Source organism: Homo sapiens, chromosome 17, assembly GCF_000001405.40.
Source record: "Homo sapiens chromosome 17, GRCh38.p14 Primary Assembly".
NCBI lineage: Eukaryota > Metazoa > Chordata > Mammalia > Primates > Hominidae > Homo > Homo sapiens.
The window spans coordinates 79,195,029-79,218,047 of NC_000017.11; the positions used below are offsets into that span (position 1 = coordinate 79,195,029).

At 55.4% G+C, this 23,019-nt stretch overlaps 1 protein-coding gene across 58 annotated transcripts in view, besides 2 other annotated features; it reads right to left on the minus strand.

The window, feature by feature from the left end:
• Positions 1-23,019, minus strand: part of RBFOX3 (RNA binding fox-1 homolog 3) — a 576,227-nt gene that overhangs the window by 105,684 nt on the left and 447,524 nt on the right. The gene's annotated exons all lie outside the window — the stretch shown is intronic.
• Positions 7,455-8,273: an enhancer, noted in NCBI's record as "H3K4me1 hESC enhancer chr17:77198565-77199383 (GRCh37/hg19 assembly coordinates)". NCBI's record gives its function as "activates a minimal SCP1, AML or CMV promoter by ChIP-STARR-seq in primed H9 embryonic stem cells {active_cell/tissue: H9 hESC(primed)}" and the evidence as "EXISTENCE:reporter gene assay evidence [ECO:0000049][PMID:30033119]".
• Positions 16,119-16,629: an enhancer, noted in NCBI's record as "H3K27ac-H3K4me1 hESC enhancer chr17:77207229-77207739 (GRCh37/hg19 assembly coordinates)". NCBI's record gives its function as "activates a minimal SCP1, AML or CMV promoter by ChIP-STARR-seq in naive H9 embryonic stem cells {active_cell/tissue: H9 hESC(naive)}" and the evidence as "EXISTENCE:reporter gene assay evidence [ECO:0000049][PMID:30033119]".

Below are 23,019 nucleotides of genomic sequence, written 5' to 3' on the forward strand. Positions count from 1 at the left end.
GCTCAGCCCCACCGACATCAGCTCACTATCATCCCCATTGCCTGCGCGGTGCCTGGCCACGGGTAGCCTCTCAAGAAGAAGTGCAGGCCGGGTGCCGTGGCTGATGCCTGTAATCCCGGCACTTTGGGAGGCTGAGGCAGGTGGATCACCTGAGGTCAGGAGTTCGAGACCAGCCTGGTCAACATGGTGAAACCCTGTTTCTACTAAAAATACAAAAAATAAGCCGGACATGGTGGTGGCTCTCGTGCGTACAGTCCCAGCTACTCAGGAGGCTGAGACACGACAATCACTTGAACCCAGGAGGCAGAGGTTGCAGTGAGTTGACATTGCACCACTGCACTCCAGCTTGGGTGACAGAGTGAGACTCCATCTTGAAAAAAAAAAAGAAGAAGAAGAAATGCAAAATGCAAAGCCAACTGGGTCTCTTCTTAGAGTAAGGCCGCACGCAAGTCTGTGTGGGCAGGAAGCCTGCCCTGATCTCCCCATCCCAAAACACAGACACCCAGCAAAAGGGTCTGCTCCATTTCAGTCTACGTTTCTTGGTTTCTGTCTGCTCTATCCTGATATCTGAGACTGGGGCCTCCTTATTTTGTCCTACCATTGCAGCTGTGCAGGCACACAGTGTCTGCTGAGGCCAGTGGTGGGGTGGCGGGGGTGGCTTTCCTTCTGTGCTCCCTCCCCTACGACCGGACAGCACCAGGAAACCAGCACTCTGTTTTGGGGTTTGGGGATGAGCTCACAGGCAAATACTTCTGCTTCCTAACCTGTGACCTGTGCTAGGAGAAAGTGTCCTAGTGGCCAGCTCCCGTGCGGCTGCACTCGCTTGCATTTGGCTGCTGGGTGAGCTTATTGATTTTTCTCTCCGAGGTAGAAGGAGAGGCCTCGGAAATGCCATTCCAGTGAAACTGGGCATGGCGATAATTATCATCATCAGAACACCCTGGACAAATTGGATCTCAGGCACCCAGAGCACCCTCAGCCTCATGCTCCACCCCAGCCTCCTCTGAAGGCAGAGGGAAGGAAGTGGGAGGGTGAATATTATTCTTCCCATCTCGTTGGATGGAGAAGCTGAAACCCAGGGTAGAGGAGTGTCCCAAGATGGGAAGTGGAGGCCGGGATGCGGGGTCGGAGTCACTGCCCCCTTCTACTGGAGAAACAGCAGCAGAGTGGAGCTTGGATCATCTTGAGCTCCTAAGAAGACTGTAGTCCCGCATCTCCTACCTTCTACCACACACCCAGCCACAGCTGTTTCTCACACCCTCCTCCAGCAGAAAGTGGGGCCCGCTCCAGCCTGGGAGTCACAGACCCGGAGTCCAGCCCATCTCTGCCCCGACCACCCGTGGGACTCTGAGCGAGCAACTAAACATCTCCAGTGTTGGTGTCTGCGTCTATCAGAATGGGACGGCAGTACCTCTCTCAGTATCGCATTCCCACAATACCTTGTGAGGATTCAAAAACATGTCATATACAAACCAGCTGGCACATAGTAGATGTTCAATAAATCATGGTAATTAATTCAACAAATACTTATTGAGTTTCCCCAAGTGCCTGGTTTTGTTCTAGGTCCCTTCTCTCTGCAGTGCCCAGATGAGACTGCTGATGAAATTTCCTCTCTTCACCCGGATGGACTGCACTTGCCCTGCTCATCTCCTAGGCCTTGGTACAGAAAGTACAGTTAACTCTCAATTATCTATGCCAATGGAGTGGAACGTTCCACTGATAATTCAGAAAGAGCAGAGAGTCTACAGATAATTCTTATTTGAATTAGGAATGCATTATGCTTATTTTCACATCGGGTTTACCTTCCTAATTACTGTTTGTTCTGGATTATGCTCAAACTGGTTTGCATTCTCAGAACTCACATCGGTGTGGTGAGGGGTGTGCCGTGGAAGTGTACTGGGGCCCACCAAGTGGAAACCAGCCACAGACCACCTCTCTGCACTGCCCTCCAGCACCCCGGGTGGACTGACGCCTGCTAACAGGGAAGTAGTAGGCACTGGGGCTGCTTGGTATCTGCCCGGGAGGAATGGTGGCAGCTCCTTGCGTGTTGTTTTAAGGCTGTGCCCATGTGGGTGGCTGGGCACGCGTGGGTAAAATGGAAGGAGGTGCACCAGTTCCTGTGAGCTGTGATTCTCCCCAGAAAGCCAGGTGCAGACATAAGAGGCATCCTCACATGCAGCCCTCCGTCGGGGCTGTCCACATGCTGTTTTCTGTCTGTCTCTTCTCTGTGTCTCCCGCTACATCTTTCTTTGTGTGTGCATCTCTCTGTCACTCTCTGCCTCCCCTCCACACTGCCATTCACTGCACTCTTTTCTCTGGGACAAACCAGGAAACAGATATTTCTTTTCTTTCTTTCTTTCTTTTTTTTTTTTTTTTTTGAGACAGAGTCTCACTCTGTCGCCCAGGCTGGAGTGCAGTGGCATGATCTCGGCTCACCGCAACCTCTGCCTCCCAGGTTCGAGCGATTCTCCTGCCTCAGCCTCCCGAGTAGCTGGGATTACAGGCATGTGCCACAACATCCTGCCAATTTTTTTTTTTGTATTTTTAGTAGAGACGGGGCCTCACCATGTTGGCCAGGCTGGTCTCAAACTCCTGACCTCAAGTGATCCGCCCACCTCGGCCTCCCAAAGTGCTGGGATTACAGGCATGAGCCACCTCCCAAGCCCAGAAAACAGATATTTCTTTCTACAGACACATCGTCCACGCAGCCAGGGCTGCAGATGGTCGGGGCTTGTGTCTAGCTGGGCAGTTCCTCCTAATGCCACTCCATTCCCCTTTGTACAGCAGAGAGGGACGGAGAAAACACCAATCTAACCTCCCAAACCACGGGCAAGCAGGGAGCCGGAAACCCAAAGAAAAGCCTGAGTCTCTGTGCCCTTCCTCACCTCCCCCGACTCCGGGCATGGAAGGGGGTCTGCCCTGCACCAGGCAACCAAGACAACATCTATCTGTGACTGCGGCGCGTGCTTCTGATTTCCTAAGCATGCCGAGTGAATCCATCCCGAGTGCCTCTGTCTGCGTCAGGAGAGTCGTGTGGGGTGGGCTTGTCATCCCGGAAGTGCTACGGTTGCATCGTGTGGGGTGGGCTGTCATCCCGGAAGTGCTACGGTTGCATCGTGTGGGGTGGGCTGTCATCCCGGAAGTGCTACGGTTGCATCGCTGGACCATCCTCAACACTGGACCAGACCAGAAGGGGAAATCATGGGTGACAACCGCCTCTGGCCAGCCCTCTGCCCTCGCCCCTGCCCTGCACCTCTCCATCCCACATGAGGCGACCTTGCAGGCACAGGTGCGGACAGGAAGGAGAGCCTGCACCTGGCGATGGTGACTCAGGGGATGTCTTTCCAGCTCTCACGGGACTCAGTGCTAAGGTGACAGTGGAACGCTGGCATCTGTGTCCCGCCTGCCAGCTCATGGAGAAAGTTCACAAATGTCACCTCAGTATGCCTCACTCAAGCCTGTGGGACAGATGGGTACAGCTGGAGACTGAGGCTTGGAGAAGTTCACAGACTTTCCAGGATGTATTGCCCATGCCACTCGTCACTCTGATAGGACTTTTAGAGATGTGAGAAGCCTCCCTGCTTTTGAACTTTCTCTCTCTCTTTTTTTTTTTTTAAGATGGAGTCTTGCTCTGTCACTCAAGCTGGAGTGCAGTGGCATGATCTAGGCTCGTTGCAACCTCCACCTTCCGGGTTCAAGCGATTCTCCTGCCTCAGCCTCCCAAGTAGCTGGGATTATAGGCATGTGCCACCACACCCAGCTAATTTTTTTTGTACTTTTGGTAGAGATGGCGTTTCATCATGTTGGCCAGGCTAATCTCGAACTCCTGACCTCAGGTGATCCACTCGCCTCGGCCTCCCAAAGTGCTGGGATTACAGGTGTGAGCCACTGCACCTGGCCGAGCTTTTTGATGCCTAATATTCTACTGCTTCCCACTGGTTAAAATACAAATTGTCTCCTGCAAAGATGCTGAGTTTGTGAGGCTGAACATTGCCTGTAACTCAGTTGTGAGGCTGTTGACTGAGAACTGGTTTTTAGGGAGAGAGGGAGGAGACCCAGAAAACAGTGGGAAGCAAGTGGGGGCTGTCTCCATGGAGTGAAAGCTGCCCAGCAAAGGGTGCAGCTGTGGTCATAGGGTGGGGATGGGAAGGCAGACTCTGGCTGGCTCACTCTGCCTTCTGAGAATGTAAAGGGCCTTTCGAAAAGACCTCCCTAGCCCCCCACCCTCGGCAGCACCACCCACCAGCCCCTTCCGGTGGACTTCACACCTGCACGGCACCTCCTGGCTCTCATTCATCCTGCCCTTCTTCTTCCAGCAGGTGGGAGGGTCAGACTCAGAGGAGGGAGCATTCCCAGGAGCCTCCAACCCTCTGCCCACCGCCCTACTGCAGGAGTTGCAGATCTTGGGGGTCTCTCAGTGGGGGAAATCAGCCCAGGTGGGACTTGAGGAAGAGGAGAAGGCCAGCCATCTGGATGGCCTGAACCCAGTCACTGACTTAGGGCTGCCAGTGACCTCTGTGGTGGGAACAGGTGACCTAGAACACACTGGTTTGGTCCCAGTTCAAGAAGTAATTAGATATGCTCTCAAAGAAGTCCCCAAAGCTTTAATTAAACTCCAATAAAAGTGAGGCTCAGTCCCTTTGTTGCATGAGCTTCATTTCCAAGAGTCACACATGGCTCCTGGTGACCATATTGACACAGATATGACATTGCTGCTGCTGTAGGATTTCTGAAGCACGCTGAACAAACCCACCCTGATGCTCCAGTCTGTCAGGAGAGTGTCTATTCTACAGTACCGCTCTAAAGCTTCCCACATCTCAGTTTCCTTATCTATAAAATGGGGAGAAAAGGGCCGGACGTGGTGGCTCACGCCTGTAATCCCAGCACTTTGGGAGGCCGAGGTGGGTGGATCACCTGAAGTCAGGAGTTCAAGACCAGCCTGGCCAACATGGTGAAACTCCGTCTCTACCAAAAGTACAAAAAAATTAGCTAGGTGTGGTGGCACATGCCTGTAATCCCAGCTACTTGGGAGGCTGAGGCAGGAGAATCACTTGAACCCGGAAGGCAGAGGTTGCAGTGAGCCGATATTGCGTCACTGTACTTCAGCCTGGGTGACAGAGCGAGACTCCGTCTCAAAAAAAAAAAAAAAAAAAAATTGGGAGAAAAGTACCCTCCTTAAGTACTTCCCAAGGCCCAGTGAGATGACAGATGGCCAAAGCCGAGTGTACAGATCATCAGCAAGGTGGCCTGTGCCCAAGCTGCTGGACAAACCCTCTTCACCACAGCCACTCCCAGGGAGTCAGAAGGTGGGGCTCCAGGGAAAGCCAAAGCCTCTTGATCAGGCAGCAGGCAGGGGGGCCACCAGCTGTCACTCAGGTGTCCCACCTAGTCTAAGAGCAAATACAAGAAAAAGAAGAAACCAGCCCCACAGACAGAGTCACAAGACAGGAGTGGCCTCAGCACAGAGCCAAGAGGGGCAGAGGTGCCGCCGGAGGGACAGCGGTGGCCGAGCAGAAGCCAGGGACCCCACACCACCTGGCTCCTTGCAGCGCCAGAGGAGAGCTGTTCAGGGAGGGCCTTGGTGGGTTGGGACATGAGGTGTCTCAGGTCACGTCTCTGGGGAGTTGAGACGCCAGGAGAGCTCTGCTGGGCTGCCAGGAACCCTGACGTGAACTCAATAATAAAAGCAAACGAGAACTTTGCATGGAGGGTACAGCTTTGCTGGGGAGGGGAAAAATCCACAAAACTGATGGGGGATGCACCTGGACCCCTGGTCCCCCCTACCTGATGTAGTGACAAGTCCCCTCCTTAGGCCATATCTGGGAAGCCAAGACAGAAGAAATCCACCCAGCCTTTCACCCCCTCCTGCGTCCTCGTCTCTGTGTGCGGCGGGCAGCTGGGCCTGGCCAGTCCCAATTCCCTCAATATGAGCCTGTCCCTCCCAGCCCTTCACTGCCCTCAGCTCCTTCCTCAGCCATTCCCACACGTCTGTGTTCTCCCCACGACTCCTTCTCTCCTCTCTTCCCACCCTCTCCTTGTGTGTCCTTTTAGCCATCACTTCTTAACAACAACAACGACAACAACAACAACAAGAGGTGCATCAGATCATCCGGATCCGATGGAGCTGTAACCAGATCCACACCAGAGGCCTCAGCATTGCCCTGACACACAGAGTCCGTCCGCCCACTGGGCTGCTCTCTCCTGGTCTCCAGGTTGGAATAGATCTACTCTTATTGGCTCAGAAAGTAATGGGCTGAGAGAGGGAATTCTGAATACTTTAAAAAGGGAATGTGGGGGATGACCTGGGTGGGAGAGGGGAGGGAGGGAAACCAGAGGATGTTTTGCTCCCAGAACCCCGGCAGTGGCAGACTGTCTGCCAGAATACCGAGAAGCAGGTGGCCTGCTGTGAGCTCAGGGAGGGCTTTCCAGGGCTAGGGAGCCCTCCTGGGCTTCTCAAGTCTGCCTGGGCTGCAGTTCCTGGTCCTGAACCTTCCTTTCTTCCAGCATTTTCCTCCTAACCCTGGGGCATTCATGATTTCTGTCCATCCTCTCAGGAGGGGACTGTTCACGATCTCTCTTCTCTCTCTTTGTATTTTCTGGAACACGGAAAGTGCTTCTGACAGGTGTATCACATCTTCTGCAATCATAACACTCTTGCCCCTCGGAGGTGGCGGAGGTGGCCCATGGCCCCCATGCCCGCCCAGTGCCAAGCTCACACACAGCACCCCCTGCCTTCTCTGTCTTCACCCCTTCCCACGTGCTTTCTCTCCTCCACACTTCCCTGACTCCGCTGGAGGCTGGGGGAGATTGACGAAGAGCCTGGGGCAGACTTGGGCAAACTTCTTGAAAAGTTGCCTTCTACTTTCAGGCCTCCTCTCTCTGCGTCTCCGCCCCTGCAGGAGAACCCAAATGCTCAGCTTCATGCTGACACCACCTTCTCTCTACAGTTACTGTCTCATCCTCCTCCTCCTGCCGGCTTCACTCACAGCTGTCACAGTCCTGGGGTGCTGACACATATCTCTGGAATCTCAGCAGTCATTACCAGGAGAATGACCTCGGTCCCCTGGGTGCACTGACAGGCTTCCCCGGCATGGGGGGTAGAGTAGGGAGGGCCCAGGAAAGGAGGGCTCTGGAGGAAGACACCCCGGGGTGTGGTGTGATCCCTGCATCTGAGCTGGACTGTGCTCTGTCCCGCTGTATCATCTACAGGGGCCTCTTATCCACAGCAAAACGGGAGGAGCCTGGAAACAGAGTGGGATTGGCAGGAGAGGCAGCCCTGGGTAACTCTGGGGCTGTGTCGGGTACCACGCTCACGTATAATAACAGATGACTCTGTTTCCCCAGCCCCTGAAAGCCCCCTCTGTGCTCACGGCAGACCACTCACTCCTCTGTATCCTGGTAGAGTCTGCCACTGCTAGGGGTGCTGGGAGCAATCCCTTATATAAGCGCAGAGCCATACAGCTTACGAAAATTTCACCAACACCATCTCACGAATTCTTACAACAACCCCATGGGACGGTTATGACTATGTCAGTGTTACATCCGGGAAGAGCGAGGCCCAGGCCAGGGGCTTGCCCCAGATCGCCTGGCTTGAGCCCACACAGCAGACACCACCCCAGTCCCACCTCCCTCCTGCTCTTTTATTCCAGCCTTGGCTGTGCGTGTCAGAGCGCACAGCTGTGATCCAACAGCCCCTCGCCCTAACACGCTGCACAGCACTGCCCGCCCTGGGGCTCTTCTGTTACTGCCACGTGGGACTCCTGCAGAGCACACTCAGCCATGCAGATGCACTATCATGCCTGGTGGTGAAAAGGCCTTAATACCACTGTGTGGGGCAGTCCTTGGCTGGACGGGGAGAGGACCTGGTGAATAAGCCATACATGGAGCCCCGAGGGGCTAAGCCCCCAGCGCCCACAGTGGTCTCAGCTCAGTAACGCACCCTTGGATTCCTTCTCCTTTCCCTATTTTACTCTCCCCAGTGCCCCTCCCTCCTGTGCACTTCCCAAAATATGCTACCTGCATGCGAGCACTTCTCTCGGGGCCTGGATTTTGGGGGCTCCCAAGCTAAGGCAGTTTGTTCCTAAGATGCCTAGAAAGTGGCCCCTCGGGATAGGATTCTGGAGTGGGGCCAGACATTGCTAAGGACCACGCTGCTGGTGACAGATGGGGCTGTGACAACCCCTGGCCTGTGGGGGCACTGTGATTACATAGACCCTCACTGGCAGAGGATGGGGAAGAGGGGCAGGTGGAGGTGAAGCATCTGGCTATGCTGTTCCTGTGGCAGTGGTTTGAGGGTGAAGGGGCGTGTAAGGACTGTGGGGGTGGGTGGAGGGCGAAGGGGCGTGTAAGGACTGTGGGGGTGGGTGGAGGGCGAAGGGGCGTGTAAGGACTGTGGGGGTGGGTGGAGGGCGAAGGGGCGTGTAAGGACTGTGGGGGTGGGTGGAGGGCGAAGGGGCGTGTAAGGACTGTGGGGGTGGTTGGAGGGTGAAGGGGCGTGTAAGGACTGTGGGGGTGGGTGGAGGGTGAAGGGGCGTGTAAGGACTGTGGGGGTGGGTGGAGGGTGAAGGGGTGTGTAAGGACTGTGGGGGTGGGTGGAGGGTGAAGGGGCGTGTAAGGACTGTGGGGGTGGTTGGATTTATTAATGGACTTAGAAGCTTTGAAAAAGGAAAACAACTGTCTCAAGCTAGCTGACTGTCAACACAGGGCCCCTGGCCTTCATGGAAATATGTAACTAGACCTTTGTCTCCTAAAGCCCAGGAAGTAATTGTCACCAATTAGTTTTTGGTGTACCAATTGTATACCAATTGTACCAATTACAATTGACACCAATCAGAGTCACCAAGGAGCCTGAACCCACGGACATGGCACTTCTCCCCTGACGAAGTCCAAGCACCGTAGGAAAGAGTGAGACCCTGGGATGAGAACGTTTGTGTGGATGAGCCTGAGAACTTTGCACCCCTAAATTCCCTGAACGCTCTGGGCTGGTGGAAGTGGCCCCTTCCATCTTTGCTAAGAGAAAGCAGACTTTTCTCACCTGGAGAACCAGCAAAGACCTCAACTGAGAAATTTTCTCATGAGATAACACTTGTCCCCCACTGAGAGCTGCCCCTACTTCCCCTACTGCCATGACAGCAATAGCTAGAGTTGGGGTTCAGCACAGGCCAAGGGGGCAACAGCCCCAGCTCAGGAAGAAAACAGCCACACACCCAAAAAGCTCCAAGACCCAGTGGATACACACCAGTGGACGCCGGGGAGCGGACACACACCAGCGGGCGCCGGGGAGCGGGTACACACCAGCGGGTGCCGGGGAGCAGGGGGCGTAGGTGGGGTTGGGGCAGAATGTAAGTCTGAACAGAGGAGAGATTACTGACGTGAAAGTAACTTCTCATGACTCAGGGCTTAATATCCTGGAAAGGACACGCGTACCAGTCCAGTGAACAGCTCCTTGAAGCGCACACATACCGACAGCATTCAGTCAACGAGGTCGACGCGCTGGAACTACTTTGGTGGAGTATTAAAGAAGGGGTCCGAAGGCCCCAGATGCTGTGAACAGAGAACCCACTAGATGACTCTGTGTCCCAGAAGGGTATGGGGGACATTCCCTCCACTAAGGCAATAAAAAATGCAATTCTGGGGTGGGGGACCGCTGAGGCATTTGGAAAGCTTCGTGGTGAGTGCCTTCACTTAGGGTTGCCATTAGGAGATGCTGCCACTAACTGGGCTCCTTAGTATCAGTGAGGATGAGAAGATTCTAGAATAGCAGGGGCCAGATAGTTGCATTTAACCATCAGAGGCAAGTTGGAATTAAATACCACCGTGGTCAGCCAGGCTTTGGAGATGACCAGGGTGCTTTGAACTACAGAAGTCTGCAGCTAATAAGCCATGGTGTTCCTGGGGATGAAATGGATGGGTGGCCAAGTAGGGTATTGCTTGGCTTATATAGCCAGGAAAAAATCAAGAGCTAGAGAGCAGAGAACTCCTCAGTCATCACAACGGGAAACTGCAGTACCATATCCAGTTCCAGGTCTAAGGCAGTTCTCCAGTCAGAGCCCACTGGTGGAAGGAAGACCAGGTAGGGCTTAGGAATGCACTGCAATATTTATAATGATAGCATCCCCATCCTTCCCCAGATGGACCTGTGGATACTTGCCAGAGAACCTGTGTCCTGGGGAAGGGGACTAGCAGAAGTTTTGCAGGCAGGAGGATACATGGTTAGAGCAGACACTGATACCTGTGAAATGAAAACACCATCATTTCTGCCAGTTAGAGTGGGGGTCCACAGAAACCCAGGGATATATGACATCCTGAACCACATCCATCTTACAGCAGGTCTGTCAGGCTCATGGACCCATCCTGTGGTTTGTTCTCTGGTCTCTGAGTCTGCATTTGGATGGCTACACTTAGCATCTAGCATAACCTGAATATGAGTTCCCTGACGTAGGAGTGCCAAATGGGAGCCTATAAAACCTCCCTAACCCCCAGCTAAGACAGGAAATCAGAAAAAACAGTACACCCCAGGGAACTTGCAAAAATTATATCCACTATCAAATACTTAAAGGAAGCAAGGATGAGGTCCCCATCCTATCCTTGTTCAATTCACCTACAAAACAGAACCCTACAAAAACCAGATGAATCAGAGTGGGTGATGGTGGATTACTGGAAACTTCACCAAGCAGCAGCCTCCAATTATTCACAGCAGTGTTGTATTTACTGGAATAGCTCGACAGAGCCTCTATTACTTGGTATATGGTGATTGATATGGAAAATGTATTTTCCAGTCCATGTCCATAAAGAGTCAAAAGCAGTTGGCTTTTTTTTTTTTTTTCCTTAAAGTAGTTTGCTTTTACATAGGAAGGACAGCAATACACATTTCCTATCTTGCTGCAAGGCTGCAATCATTCTCTTGCTCTTTTCCACAATATAGTCTGCAGGGACCTTGGCCGTTGTGACATTCCAGAGAATATGCTCATCCGATACACTGAGGAAATCAGGCTCATTGAGCTAGACGGGCAGGAAGGAGCAAGTCCAGCTAATGCCTGAGGAAGACCTGTGTGTCAGAGGGTGCGAGGTAAAGCCTAGCAAGAAGGTCTACAGCTTGCCACGTCAATGAAATATTTAGAGTCTGGGGCTTTCTGGAACATCCCCTTGAAGATCATGTAAAAGCAAATCATTGCACTCCTTCCACCAAGAGAGGGGCACAGAACTTGGTGGCCTCTTTGGATGCTGGAGGCAGCAAATATTCCCCTTGGGAATACAGCTCTAGCCTAACACTTCCAAAGGCTATCCGTTTTGAGTAGGTCCCAGAGCAAACGAGGGCTCTATAGCAGGTCCAAGATGCAGTGACATCATCCCAGTGGTGCCCGACGTACACTGTGGCGGATAAGGCTGTGTGAGGAGTCTCCGGCAAGTCTCATTGAGAGACACAGCACTGACTCCTCAAGATGGTTGAGGCTGGCCGTCATCTTGAAGACTCTGTGATGAGCTGGACATAGTACAGGGGTGCAAGAAGTGGGCGGGAGCGGATGCCTCCTGTGTCCACCTTGTCTCCTCTAAGCCCTGCTTTTCACTCCAGACTTTGCTGCAGCCATCAGCTGTCCACAGATGTAGCCTGAAGACAACTTGACTTAGTGAGTCTCTCCAGGCCACCACTGCTCAGCTGTCCCCTGGCAGGAACAAACCTGAATGTGCCGGCCAGTTAACACCCCATGGTGCACCCTGCGCTGTGGGCTATGGCAGCTGGTGGATGCAACCTTCCCTCTTCTATCCCTCAGGTGGGCAGCTCAGAAAGTGCCTTCTACACCACTCCTCAGAGAAGTCCTAACTGGATTGAGTCTTGGAACCACTCCCCATCTCATTGACTCAATAGTACACCTGGAATGGCTTTCTTCCTCCCCATTTCACTTTTCCCAGCCCCCTTTCCTTTGGCTCATTTCCCAAAATAAACCTCCTGCATGCAAGCCCTTGTCTCAAACTCTGCTTTGGGGAGAAAACTCTAGACTAAGACAGACAAGATTTGAAATCTGAAGTTTCCCATGCAAAGAAAAAAGCCATGCAAGTTTTCTCTGTTTGCCTGTCTCCCCAGTAGAAGAGTTTCCAAATGCTTACTGGGTTAAAAGTGCCTCTGCCTAATATTATAATTAGTAGGGTTGTTTTACGATTCAGAAAACAGAGGAAAGTATGAAGAAGATTATCACCCATGGTCTAATGAGCTTATTGGGCTTAATGGTTCATATTTAACAGGAATGAAACGCTCCTTTCCCATGTCACCAGGACAGGTACAGAGTTGAAACTTCCTCTCCATGTGCCCAAACTCACTGCTGGACCTGAGTGAGGCCCCCAGTGTCCCTCGATTAGCCACCTGCTCAGTGGCCTGAGGCCAGAGTCAGGGAGCTACGGTCAGAGGTGCCTGGATGCTGCTCCACCCCTAGCGAGGCCTGCACTGTTCCCAGCGTGGCACCAGGGCCCCTTGCAAGCTTTACCAAGAAGCCTCTCGGGTTATTCCCTGTGGCCAGGCTCGGGCTGGGTCCCTGGGCCTATGGGCTGTGGGGTCAGCCCACTGGGCAAAGGGATCTGGGATTTCTTGGGACAAGCTCCAGGAACAGGAAACTTTGGAACACGCCCTCCTCTCGCGGGCCTAAGCTCCCTTCCCTTTTCTAGGGGGGTGTCTGCAAGTCTCTGTGCTGCCCTCTGGGGAGGACTGGCCTTCAGGAACTTTCCCGTCGGCCACTTGGAGACTGGGGTGCACACCAGGGCACCTCCAGGCAGCGCCTCCTGCACGCTCACACCTCCTTTCCCTCCCCTTCTCTCTTCTTGCTCATCCTCAGCTCTTTTGCGGCCAGCCAGTCTTGCCCCCAAAAGGAGGAATGGTTATTTCTTTAGCTATACAATTAATCAATGTTTTGGCCCTTTCTTTTAAAACAGTATGGGCCACAAGTCCGGGACCGCGGGAGCCTCGGCAAGCCTCGGCTGGGCTGGGTGAAAGGTGGCCCTTCTCTGGCCAGCTCTTGGTGTCTCCCTCCCTTTGTTCTCCCCTCACGCCCTTCTTCCTGCGTCTGGAGGGAAAGGCTTATTTACAGTCACTGCAGAAACACTCCCTCTCCCCTCTGTTGGTAGAACCACAACCAAGCGGATACAGCAGAGCTGAGATGCTGCTGGCAGTGCGGGTCTCCAGCTGTCAGCCCCGAGCTGTGGCTCTCAAGACAGGATTCAGGCACAGAACCAAGACTCTTGGTCCTTCCTGCCCAGCCAGGCTGTCTCTGTCACACACACACCCGGCCAGGCCATCCCAGCCAATAGCCAAAGGCCTCGACCGCCTGGAAACCAAAGGGGCTCCCCTCGGCCCTCCAAGCAGTCCGGGGAAGGGGTGGGGCTGGGAGTCAGTCGGGAAGGTTGGGTCAAGGAAGAGAAAAGAGGCACTTGCCTTCTGCTGGGGTCTCCAACCCCTGGCTGACTTCTCTCTTGGGATGACTTCCAGCTTCTGGCTGTTTCCCCAGGTGGTATCTTTGAAAACACGGTCAGCTGTTCATCTTCTCATGGAAGTGTGGGTGCCAGGCAAGTGGCATTGAGCAACCTTGAGTGAAAGATGCCCACCTGGCTGGTGGAGGCCCTTCCCGGGCAGAGGCAGAGGCAGAGGCAGAGGCAGAGGGGAGGCTCTTGGTGGAGAGATGTTGTCTGAAGCCAGAATTATTCTGACCGTGTCCCCACGCTTGCTCCTAGGGCCCTGCTCCTGCCTTAAGGGGCCCCACAGGACCTCACTCCCATCTCCACCCTGGCTGCTCTTTCTCTCTTTCTTTTTTTTTTTGTTTGAGACGGAGTCTCGCTCCGTCGCCCAGGCTGGAGTGCAGTGATGTGATCTCGGCTCACTGCAAGCTCTGCCTCCCGGGTTCACGCCGTTCTCCTGCCTCAGCCTCCCAAGTAGCTGGGACTACAGGCACCCGCCACCACGCCCGGCTAATTTTTTGTACTTTTTTTTAGTAGAGACAGGGTTTCACCGTGTTAGCCAGGATGGTCTCGATCTCCTGACCTTGTGATCCGCCTGCCTCGGCCTCCCAAAGTGCTGGGATTACAGGCGTGAGCCACCACGCCCGGCCCCTGGCTGCTCTTTCTGTACGTGCCCATTCCTCCCCTCTCCCACCAGGCCACCCATGTGAGTTGTGGTTGGTGATGTGGCTGGGCCAGCCCTCCTGCACAAGGCCTTCTGTGATGTGCCCCCATCCCAGGAGCAGGCCAGTGCCTCCTTCTGGGTGCCCACATTGTTTGAACCCCATCACCATGTTTGCACCTGCTCTGTAACTATTAATGCACAGCTCCGGGACCTCCCAGGGGGCAGGGACAAGGCTTCATCCCTGTTGTGTCTCCAGGGCTGAGTGTGGCAGGCAGGACAGAGGCACTCGGGACACACCCATTGAACCAAACGGAACTCCCACTTCCAAAGCACCATGGAACAAAATGTGGCCGGCACCGCAGGTGTGGCCTCTCATTCCCCATACTGGGGACTTGACTTTCTCCTCCTCTAGGCAGTGAGCACCTCTGCAGAGAGATGAACCACCTCGGTACCCCAGTGTCCAGCATAGGTGTCTGCACATAGTACCTGTCCCATAAAAATAAGCAGGACGAGGTTGCCTGCAGAGACACAGCAAGAGGTGGGGTGCATGGCTCACATGTGCTATGAAAGGACGGCGCTGGCCGGGCGTGGTGGCTCATGTCTGTAATCCCAGCACTTTGGGAGGCGGAGGCGGGTGGATCACGAGGTCAGGGGATCGAGACCATCCTGGCTAACATGGTGAAACCCCGTCTCTACTAAACAAAAACACAAAAAATTAGCCGGGCGTGGTGGTGGCCGCCTGTAGTCCCAGCTACTTGGGAGGCTGAGGCAGGAGAATGGCGTGAACCTGGGAGGCGGAGCTTGCAGTGAGCCGAGATCACGCCACTGCACTCTAGCCTGGGCGACAGAGCAAGACTCCATCTCAAAAAAAAAAAAAAAAGAAAGAAAAGAAAGGACAGCGTTTCTGTGTGCGCACAGAGGCGCCTTAGCAAATCCTGCAAAAACAACAGACACACAGGCTCAGCTTCTGCCCTGGCTAGATAACCTCTGGAGCCCGAGGGAAGAGTGTACCTGCCTGGGGGGAGGGATATGGAGTGGGGAGTGCAGGGGGCCACCCGGTTAGGGCAATGGGCAGGTGCCTGGTCAAGGAGGGAGGCTATTCTTTTGTGAACTTTTTTTATTTCTTCAGTGTTTTTTCAGAGTTGGACCCCCGGCGTCTTCACGCTAATGCCACCGTCTTCATTTCTCTCTGGCTGCATCTGCTCTTCATCTCCATGCGGTTATAGTTTTCACCTCGCTGTAATCAGGGGTCCTGCTTTTTCACTTGATGATATACAGAGACGGCTTCCCTTGTACGGGGACTTCCTACCCATCAGGTCTCACGGCCGCACAATATCCCATCGAGTGCCCGCCGCATACTTCACGTAACTATCCCTTTACGGCGGACAGGTAAGATGATGCCAGAGGGGTTTCTTCTGCTGCTATAAATATCTTGGCACGTCCAGCTTTTTTCATCTTTTGAATTATTTCTCAGGGATATGGTCCCGGGGCGGGATTATGGAATTGAAGGGTCGGGTGGCTCTTGTCCTGTTCTGCCAGTTGCCCTTCAAGAGATGGGGCTGGGGTAGGTGATGTGGAGGAGTGCCCTACCACCCTCCATCTGCACGTCTGGTGCCTGGTGGGGATGTGCAGCATGGGCAGAGGGTGCAGCCCGCAGCAGGAGCTCCCAAACACAATGAGGGTGCCGAGTTTTGGAGTTTCCAACACCTTCTCCAGCGTCCGGTGATCTCAGTCCTGGTCTCCTCTAGGCAGCGAGCAGTGAGCACCTCTGCAGAGGGATGGGCCACCTCGGTATCCCCAGTGTCCTGCACAGGTGTCCGCATATAGTTCTTGTCCCATACAAATAAACAGGAGGAGGTTGCCTGCAGAGACACAGCAAGAGGTGGGGTGCGTGACTCACATGTGCTATGGTGTGCGGCTTGGGCAGAGGGTGCAACCCACAGCAGGAGCTCCAAAACACCATGAGGGTGCCGAGTTTTGGAGGTTCCAACACCTTCTCCAGCGTCCGGCGGTCTCAGTCCTGGGCCACGGAGCAGACGGTGGGAACACAGGCTTCCTGGCAGGCAGCACGGCCCGATGCGGGCTGGTCTGGTGGGTGGCTGTGGCTTCCGTCGTGGGGAGGCACAAGCCCTGAATCAGGATGCTCATTTTGGCACACGGCAGCCTGTGCCTCTGACCCTGCCAACGCCAGCCTCCGCCACCTCCTGCCCGCTCAGCCTCCGGAACCATGAGCAGGACGTTCCAGATCCGAGCTGCTGACAAGCCACAGCAGGCAGGAAGATAAATGGAAGGGTCCTTAATCCCAACTTCTTTCCATAATTAAGTTTTGAGATCATCGTATGCTGAACCCAGGTTTCAGCAGAGCTGCTGGGACTGGCTCCAGGTGGACGCTGGCGTGCAGTTAACAGGGATAGGGGCCGTGTCGCTGCTGCCAGCAGCCTGGGAGAGCCCTGCTACTCATCCCCTGCGGATGCCTCCTTCCCACGCTCAGACTCCGGGGGGCTGGACAGACAGGGAGGCAGCTGCAGATACCCCAAGGTCAGAGTCCCAGGCTCCGGCAGGGCTGTACCCCGGTCCATCTCCAGCCCTGACTCCTCCAATCCTAATATGACTTCTCACTGCTGGTTGGGGCATTTCTAGATCCCTTTACCAGAACCACTGGTAACTCTCCTCAAAGCAACCACAACGCTTTGCCCTGGTCCTCCCTTAAGCCCTGGACTTTCGGTTAGGCCCTCTCTTAGCACCTCTCCTGGTCACCTGGGTTGTGCCAGGCTGACTGCTGGGCACGGGGATACGTGGGGGGGAACAAGACAGATGAGACCCCTGCCCACAAGGAACTCCCCCAGCGGGCCCAGGAGGTTGTGGCCAGGCCAAGCTCCCGAAAGCTCTGGTCTCCTGGGGTCTTGGAAGACAACCAGCCAGCACCCTCCCTCCTGGAGTCCCGCTGCATTGGGGAAATTGACCAGCGCCCAAAGACGGGCCCACCTGGGCATCTTCGACCATGCCAGGGACAAGACAGCAGAAAAATGGCCCCAGGGAGAAGGGCTGGGGTCTCTGGACTCTTCTCCAGGAAAACCTTCAAACTCTAGACACCCTTGGCCACCCGCTGCCCTGGGTTCTTCCAGGCTGGGGCTGGGGCTGGGGCAGGGCTGCTCCGCCTGGGCTCCTACGTGACTCCTTTCTCCTCCTCCCCTCCCCATTTGCCTGGGAGGAAGGAAGGGGCCGCACTTGCTCCAGCCTCTCTGGCTGCTCCTTCCTTCCCTCCTGCAGCCGGGCTCCTGGCGCTGCCCGTTCCCAATTTCTCCTTCCTGTAGGACTGCTGCAGGGGCCACCCTGTTTTTAGGGGGTCGGGTCTCACCCTGGGCCCCCCAGTCCGCAACTCCTGACTCCTTATTCTGCACTTCCTTCCTTGTTCTTCATAAAGAGTAGATTTCAGAGCAACTTAACTTCTTTCACAAGCAAATTCCCAGAGCCTGGTTCTTCCCCAGCCCTGGAGGGCCTCCCCGTAATTGCAGGCCTTACTCTCTCTGCTCCTTTTCAATCACAAATGTCGCTGACAGTCCCCACACTACCACTTGTTTCCCCTTTTGTCCTAGAATGAGAAAAGCAGGCTGTGGGGAGGGGCGGGGAATGGGAGAAAGTGCCTGGCTCTAAACAGAAGCCAGGCCCATTCTCTCCCTTAGGGGACCCAGACAACTTCCTGGGGCCTGGAAACAGATGTCACCTCAGCTACAGTGTTTGAGTTGGAGTCTGGCTCTGTTGCCCAGGCTGGAGTGCAGTGGCGCAATCTCAGATCACTGCAACCTCCGTCTCCCAGGTTCAAGAGATTCTCCTGCCTCAGCCTCCTGAGTAGCTGGGATTACAGGCATGCGCCTGTAATGCCCAGCTAATTTTTTGTATTTTTAGTGGAGACAGGGTTTCACTATGTTGGCCAGGCTGGTCATGAACTCCTGACCTCAAGTGATCTGCCCGCCTTGGCCTCTCAAAGTGCTGGGATTACAGGTGTGAGCTACCACGCCCAGCCTGGACATGAATATTTTAATGACAATGAAAAAGAGGATAAAGTTCCCCTGTTTCTCTTGTGAGCAGATGAGGGTTGAGGGTCAAGGGTTTAGGGTGGTGGTGTTGGAGCAGGTGGCTCCCTCGCCTCCCTGCCCTGCACTCACCCAGGAAGGGGAAGGACGCGGCGGGGGGGCACCTGGATCCACAGCCCTGCAGATTCCACAAGGGAAGCTGTGTCTTCACCAGCAGTCCAGGCCTCGCGTCAAGTCCCCAAAATATGCACCCGCAACTGCTACCAGGACCTAAATCCAGCAACAGCCAGACGGGGGAGGGTGAGATGAGGGCCAAAGTCAAGGGCTGGCCCTCCCCTTCTTGGCCTCCCACCCCGCCAACCAGTGGGGCCCATCCAGAGGCTCCTCCCCCAGGGTCAGCCCCACTCTCCTGTCACTCCCCCTTTATCCACATGCTTGTTTGGTGAGATTTCCTAAGTCCTTCCATCTTGGATGTCCTGAGCCTTCCCCGGGGACTGCGACCATTAGGGGCACTTTGCACCTAACAGGGTGTATCCACTCGGCACCGCCAACAAATGTTGACCAGCTGATAGCTAAAATCTCTCCTCCTCTCTTGGACTCCCACCAGATATAACTTTGGGAACATTTGTACCCCAAGGACAAAGGGCTGCGAACGTCACAGGAAACCTGACTTTCCAGCCGGCCACACTCCATGCACAAGCCCAGAGGGTCTCCTCAGCCATTCTGTACTGGGCATTGCTGGGTTTTGGGAATTGAGGATGTGAAGGAAGCCAAGACATCGCGTGCTGCCTGTGACCTGTGGGCCACAGCCCCTAAACACTCAGCGGATCAGACTTGGTTCCGTTTCCGAAGGTGGTGCCAGCGGATGTTGGGAGGCCCGGTGAACTACAGCCAACCCTCGCATGGCGCCGCCCAGCTCTGGTAGGAGGGACTGAAATAAATGGAGTCAAGTGAACTTCTTTGGTAAACCATGATGGATCTCTCTTTAGGAACTGCCCCTCACCAGAGCTTTGCCACCCGTGGGTATTAGGACCCTGATAAAGTCGGCCTCTCCAGCAACGCACGGAGCTATCTCACTTACAACGTGAAAGTGGCTGTGTGTTGGTTGCCGGCATGAAAAAACACTTTGCTTAATGATTTTTAATAAAAATCAGACATGGTCATGGAGGTGCCTCATGGAGGAAAGCCCTGTCTCCTCATTAATTAGACAAGCCCTCCCGCCCGCAGGTCCAGCAACCAGGGAGGGTGGGGGCTCTCTTCTTGAGAAAAGTGATGCAAAGCCCTTTGGATCAGTGTGACTGGGAGGACGCTGCTGCCCACCCTGGCACCCAGGGAGGAGGAGGAGAGATGGGAGAAGAGGGGCTCCCTGGGGCAGGCCAAGTGGGAGGGATGTCTGGGGGGGGTCTCGGAGGAAGCAGGAAGGGTTGGCCTCTGTGGCTGTCCAGGGAGAGAGAGGAGGAGCCCAGGCTCCCAGGCAGGGCTGAAGCTGGGTCTGTTCCCCAGGTTCCTGGGAGGGTGGCCATCTGGGAAGCCCAGGAGGGGAGGCTGGAGGCCCAGGGGCCCCCAGCTACTAGACGGCCCTAGGAAACAGACACTAAATCCTCATTACAAGGCTTGTTAAATGCACAGACAGGATATTAGCGTTTAAACAGCTTCTATTACTCCAGGGCAAACTTTAAAAAACATAATATTTATAGAAAGCCTCATTCAGCTCACCCTGTTTGTTCTTTATTTCTCTGGCAATTACCGCTAATTTGGAGACGTTCTGCCTTGGCATCTTCGCCTGGTGCCGGTCAATTATGAAGCCACCCGCTGGTGCTGCCCCCACACCCGTCACTCCTGCACAAGACCCAGCGGCTGCAGGGCTTGGGGGAGTGACATGAGCCCACCCCCTGGCTCCCTGCCCTTCCCCTTCCTGGGCAGGGCAATGTTCACACACCCCAGGCCATCTTCCTGTGCCATCTGTTTGTCCCATCGGGTTGGCTCTGGGGGAAGTGGGAGGGAGGTGCTGGCCCCCGCAGGGCTCCCGGCTGAAGCTCCCAGGCCCCAGACTGCATGCTGCCGCCCTCGTGCAGCTCTGAGCTGAGCCCAGCAACGCTGAGGCTGTAGGGGCAGGGAGGTCCTCCGCTCTGGGCTGCAGCCCCGTCAACCAAAGAGTCACACTGGTTTCCAGACCTATGAATGTGACCGTGGTAGGAGACGCCTCTGGAAAGCACCCTACTCATGCTCAGACGTGTGGCCCCTGCTCTGCCATGCCAAGGACGTAGCACTGTCAACACGCTCCCTCTCTCCCTCCAACCTCCCTTCCTTTCTCCATCTGTTCCTTGAGTCCTTGCCAAGCCTCTCCCCTTTCCAGGGCACTGCTGACCGACCACTCAGACTCATCTCCTGCCCACACGGAGCTCACAGTCAGCTGGTGCCCTGGGTAAGACAGGCACCCCTGGTGTGCGGGGACTCACAGAAGATGGAAGGGCAGGGCTCAGGGAATAGCACATAGAGGAATAAACTGGTCCCCAAAGGCTGTGCATGGCTGGACGTAGCCCAGCAGGAGCGTATCCCCCAGGCTTGGCTCTGCTGTAGGCAGCCATGCCACGCTGGGCACCGCCCTCTCTCAGCCTGCCCTGAAGCGGAGCACCCACTGCCTCGGTGCCTGCTGGGCACACTGCCGGGCTCAATGTGTCCTTTGCTTTTGTCCCCAAGGCAGTGGGAAGCCACTCTGGCGGCTGTGGATGCTGGTGCAGGCATTTGGACGTCGTCCTGAGGGTTCCTGAGTAGAGGTCAGAGCCAGAGTCAGGTTTAACCCGATAGCCTTGCAAGCAGCGGACGCAGGGCTGGAGCTGATGGTCTTGGGGTCACCCAGGGGTCCAGCACTTGTCCCCTGCCCCCAAGCGTCCTCAGCCCAGCGGGGGTCAAGATGTAACTGTCTGGGCTTTGGAGCTGGAGACCAGGTTCTGGTCCTGGACATCACAGTTGGGTTGGTGACCTGGATATGTCACTGCCACCTCTGTGGCCCCCCAGCTGGGTGGGGAGAGCAGCCCAGCCTGTTTGCCTCCCAGGCGTAGGTGAGGCGAGCTGAGACGCCATCTGTGAGGAGGCTCTGAGAGCCACTGTGGTCTCTGCGGTGTGTGGCATTCTTGGGACACAGGGTCCATGTGAGGAAGTGTACCCACCTGACGGAAGAAGGTGGAGACCATGGGGACCACGGAGCAGGTGGGGAGGGGTCTCCTGGCTGGGACCACCTGGAGGGCCTGGAGTGGAGATGGACTGGGGGGCAGGCAGGAAGGAGGGGTGGGGCATTGTAGGAGCAGCTTAGAGGTAGGACCAGCATGAGGCCAGGGGGCAGGAGTGAGAGGAGGGAGATGAGGAGCACGTTGGGCTGAGCCCAGTCTCCTGCAGGAAGGAAGGTACCATGGCCCCTCAGGCCCAGAGCACAGGCCCCACGGCTGGTGTGGGCTTCTCTGTGGCAGTGAGCAGAACCCAGGTGGGGACAGGGTCACATGCCCACCCGTTCTGGCGTCTCCCTGTCCTGCCAGCAAATATCCCTGTCCTGCTTGACCGGGCACAGAACACGCAAACAGTAATTTTCACCCAACCTGATCTCACTTTACAGATGAGCCACCTGAGGCTCAGAGAGACTTGGTGACTTGTCCAGGGTCATGCAGCTGCCAAGTGGCAGAGCCAGATCCCAGAGCAGGCCTGAGGAACACGAGTCCCCTGCCCCTGCCATTGAGCCCACTGCCCAGACCCCAGCAGCCTTTTTACCCCCGGCCCCTGTCTCCCCACCGTGGTGGCAGCCCTCCTCCAGGGGGTATCCCCAGGTGAAACATCCGAAGGCAGAGATACCCCCAAAGCAGGCAGGGGGCCCCCCACTCTGGGCCTCTCTCACAGAACAGCAGTGACCTCCACACCCTTGCTACCAAGGGGAGCCCCTCCCCGCACGGCCAAGCTGAAAGGGCCTGGGGGCAGGTTCCTCCCTGCAACCCACTCTTGCTTTGCCAAGGCCAGGCCCCTTGGCTCTGCTGGCAACTGTCCCCTTCACAATGAGCACAGAAATCATTGGCCGCAAGTTTGCCAGCTTTAAAATGGGAGCAACAATATCTCCAGTGCTGCCCTTGAAAAGCCATGCCCATGGGAGGTGGAGATATGTTCACTCGAGGATGGGAGAGGAGGCTGCACAAGAGTGGGGAGCCCTACAGAGCTGCTGCTTCAGGGGATACCCCTGGCCAGGTCCCATCCTGCATCTCGGAACAGACTCATTCTTTCAATCACTCACTCGTTCATTTCAGTGTTCAGTGTTCCCAGAGCCCCAGCTGAACATCAGACACAGGGCAGATACCAGGAACAAGAACTGAACAAGACCCAGCCAGGGTGCTCGAGGGAGCTGCAGGCAGAGGGGAGATGGAGGGGTGAATGGGTAACAGGAGCACCCAAGGATGAGGGTGGGGGTGCAGAGGAGGAAATGGCATCTGGCTGTGGGGTGCTCAGGGAGGGCTTCCTGGAGGTGGTGACAGCTAAGCTGCCCTTGACTCCATGCCTGCAGCAGCCCCTCATGTCTCTGCCTGAAAGCTCACCCTGAAGTCAAGCAGGAGCCAGTTATGGGGGTGGGGTGGGAGGCAGGGTGTTTTTTTAGGTGGAACAAGCCCAAAGGAGAACACGGCAGATGTTCAGATTAACCTTGGAGCAGCTCAGCCTGGCTGGGCCACGGGGCTTAGGGAGGAGCCGGAAGGAGGTGCGGGGTGAGGTGGAGCTGAGAGGGCAGGGTGGGGAGAAGTTAGCGCTCTGTGTTACGAAGGTGAGATTTGATCGGGGCAGGCGGGGCTGGGGCTGGGCCTGGAAGCTGAGTGGGAAGTCGGGGTAGAGGGAGGCAGGACCCACTCTGGG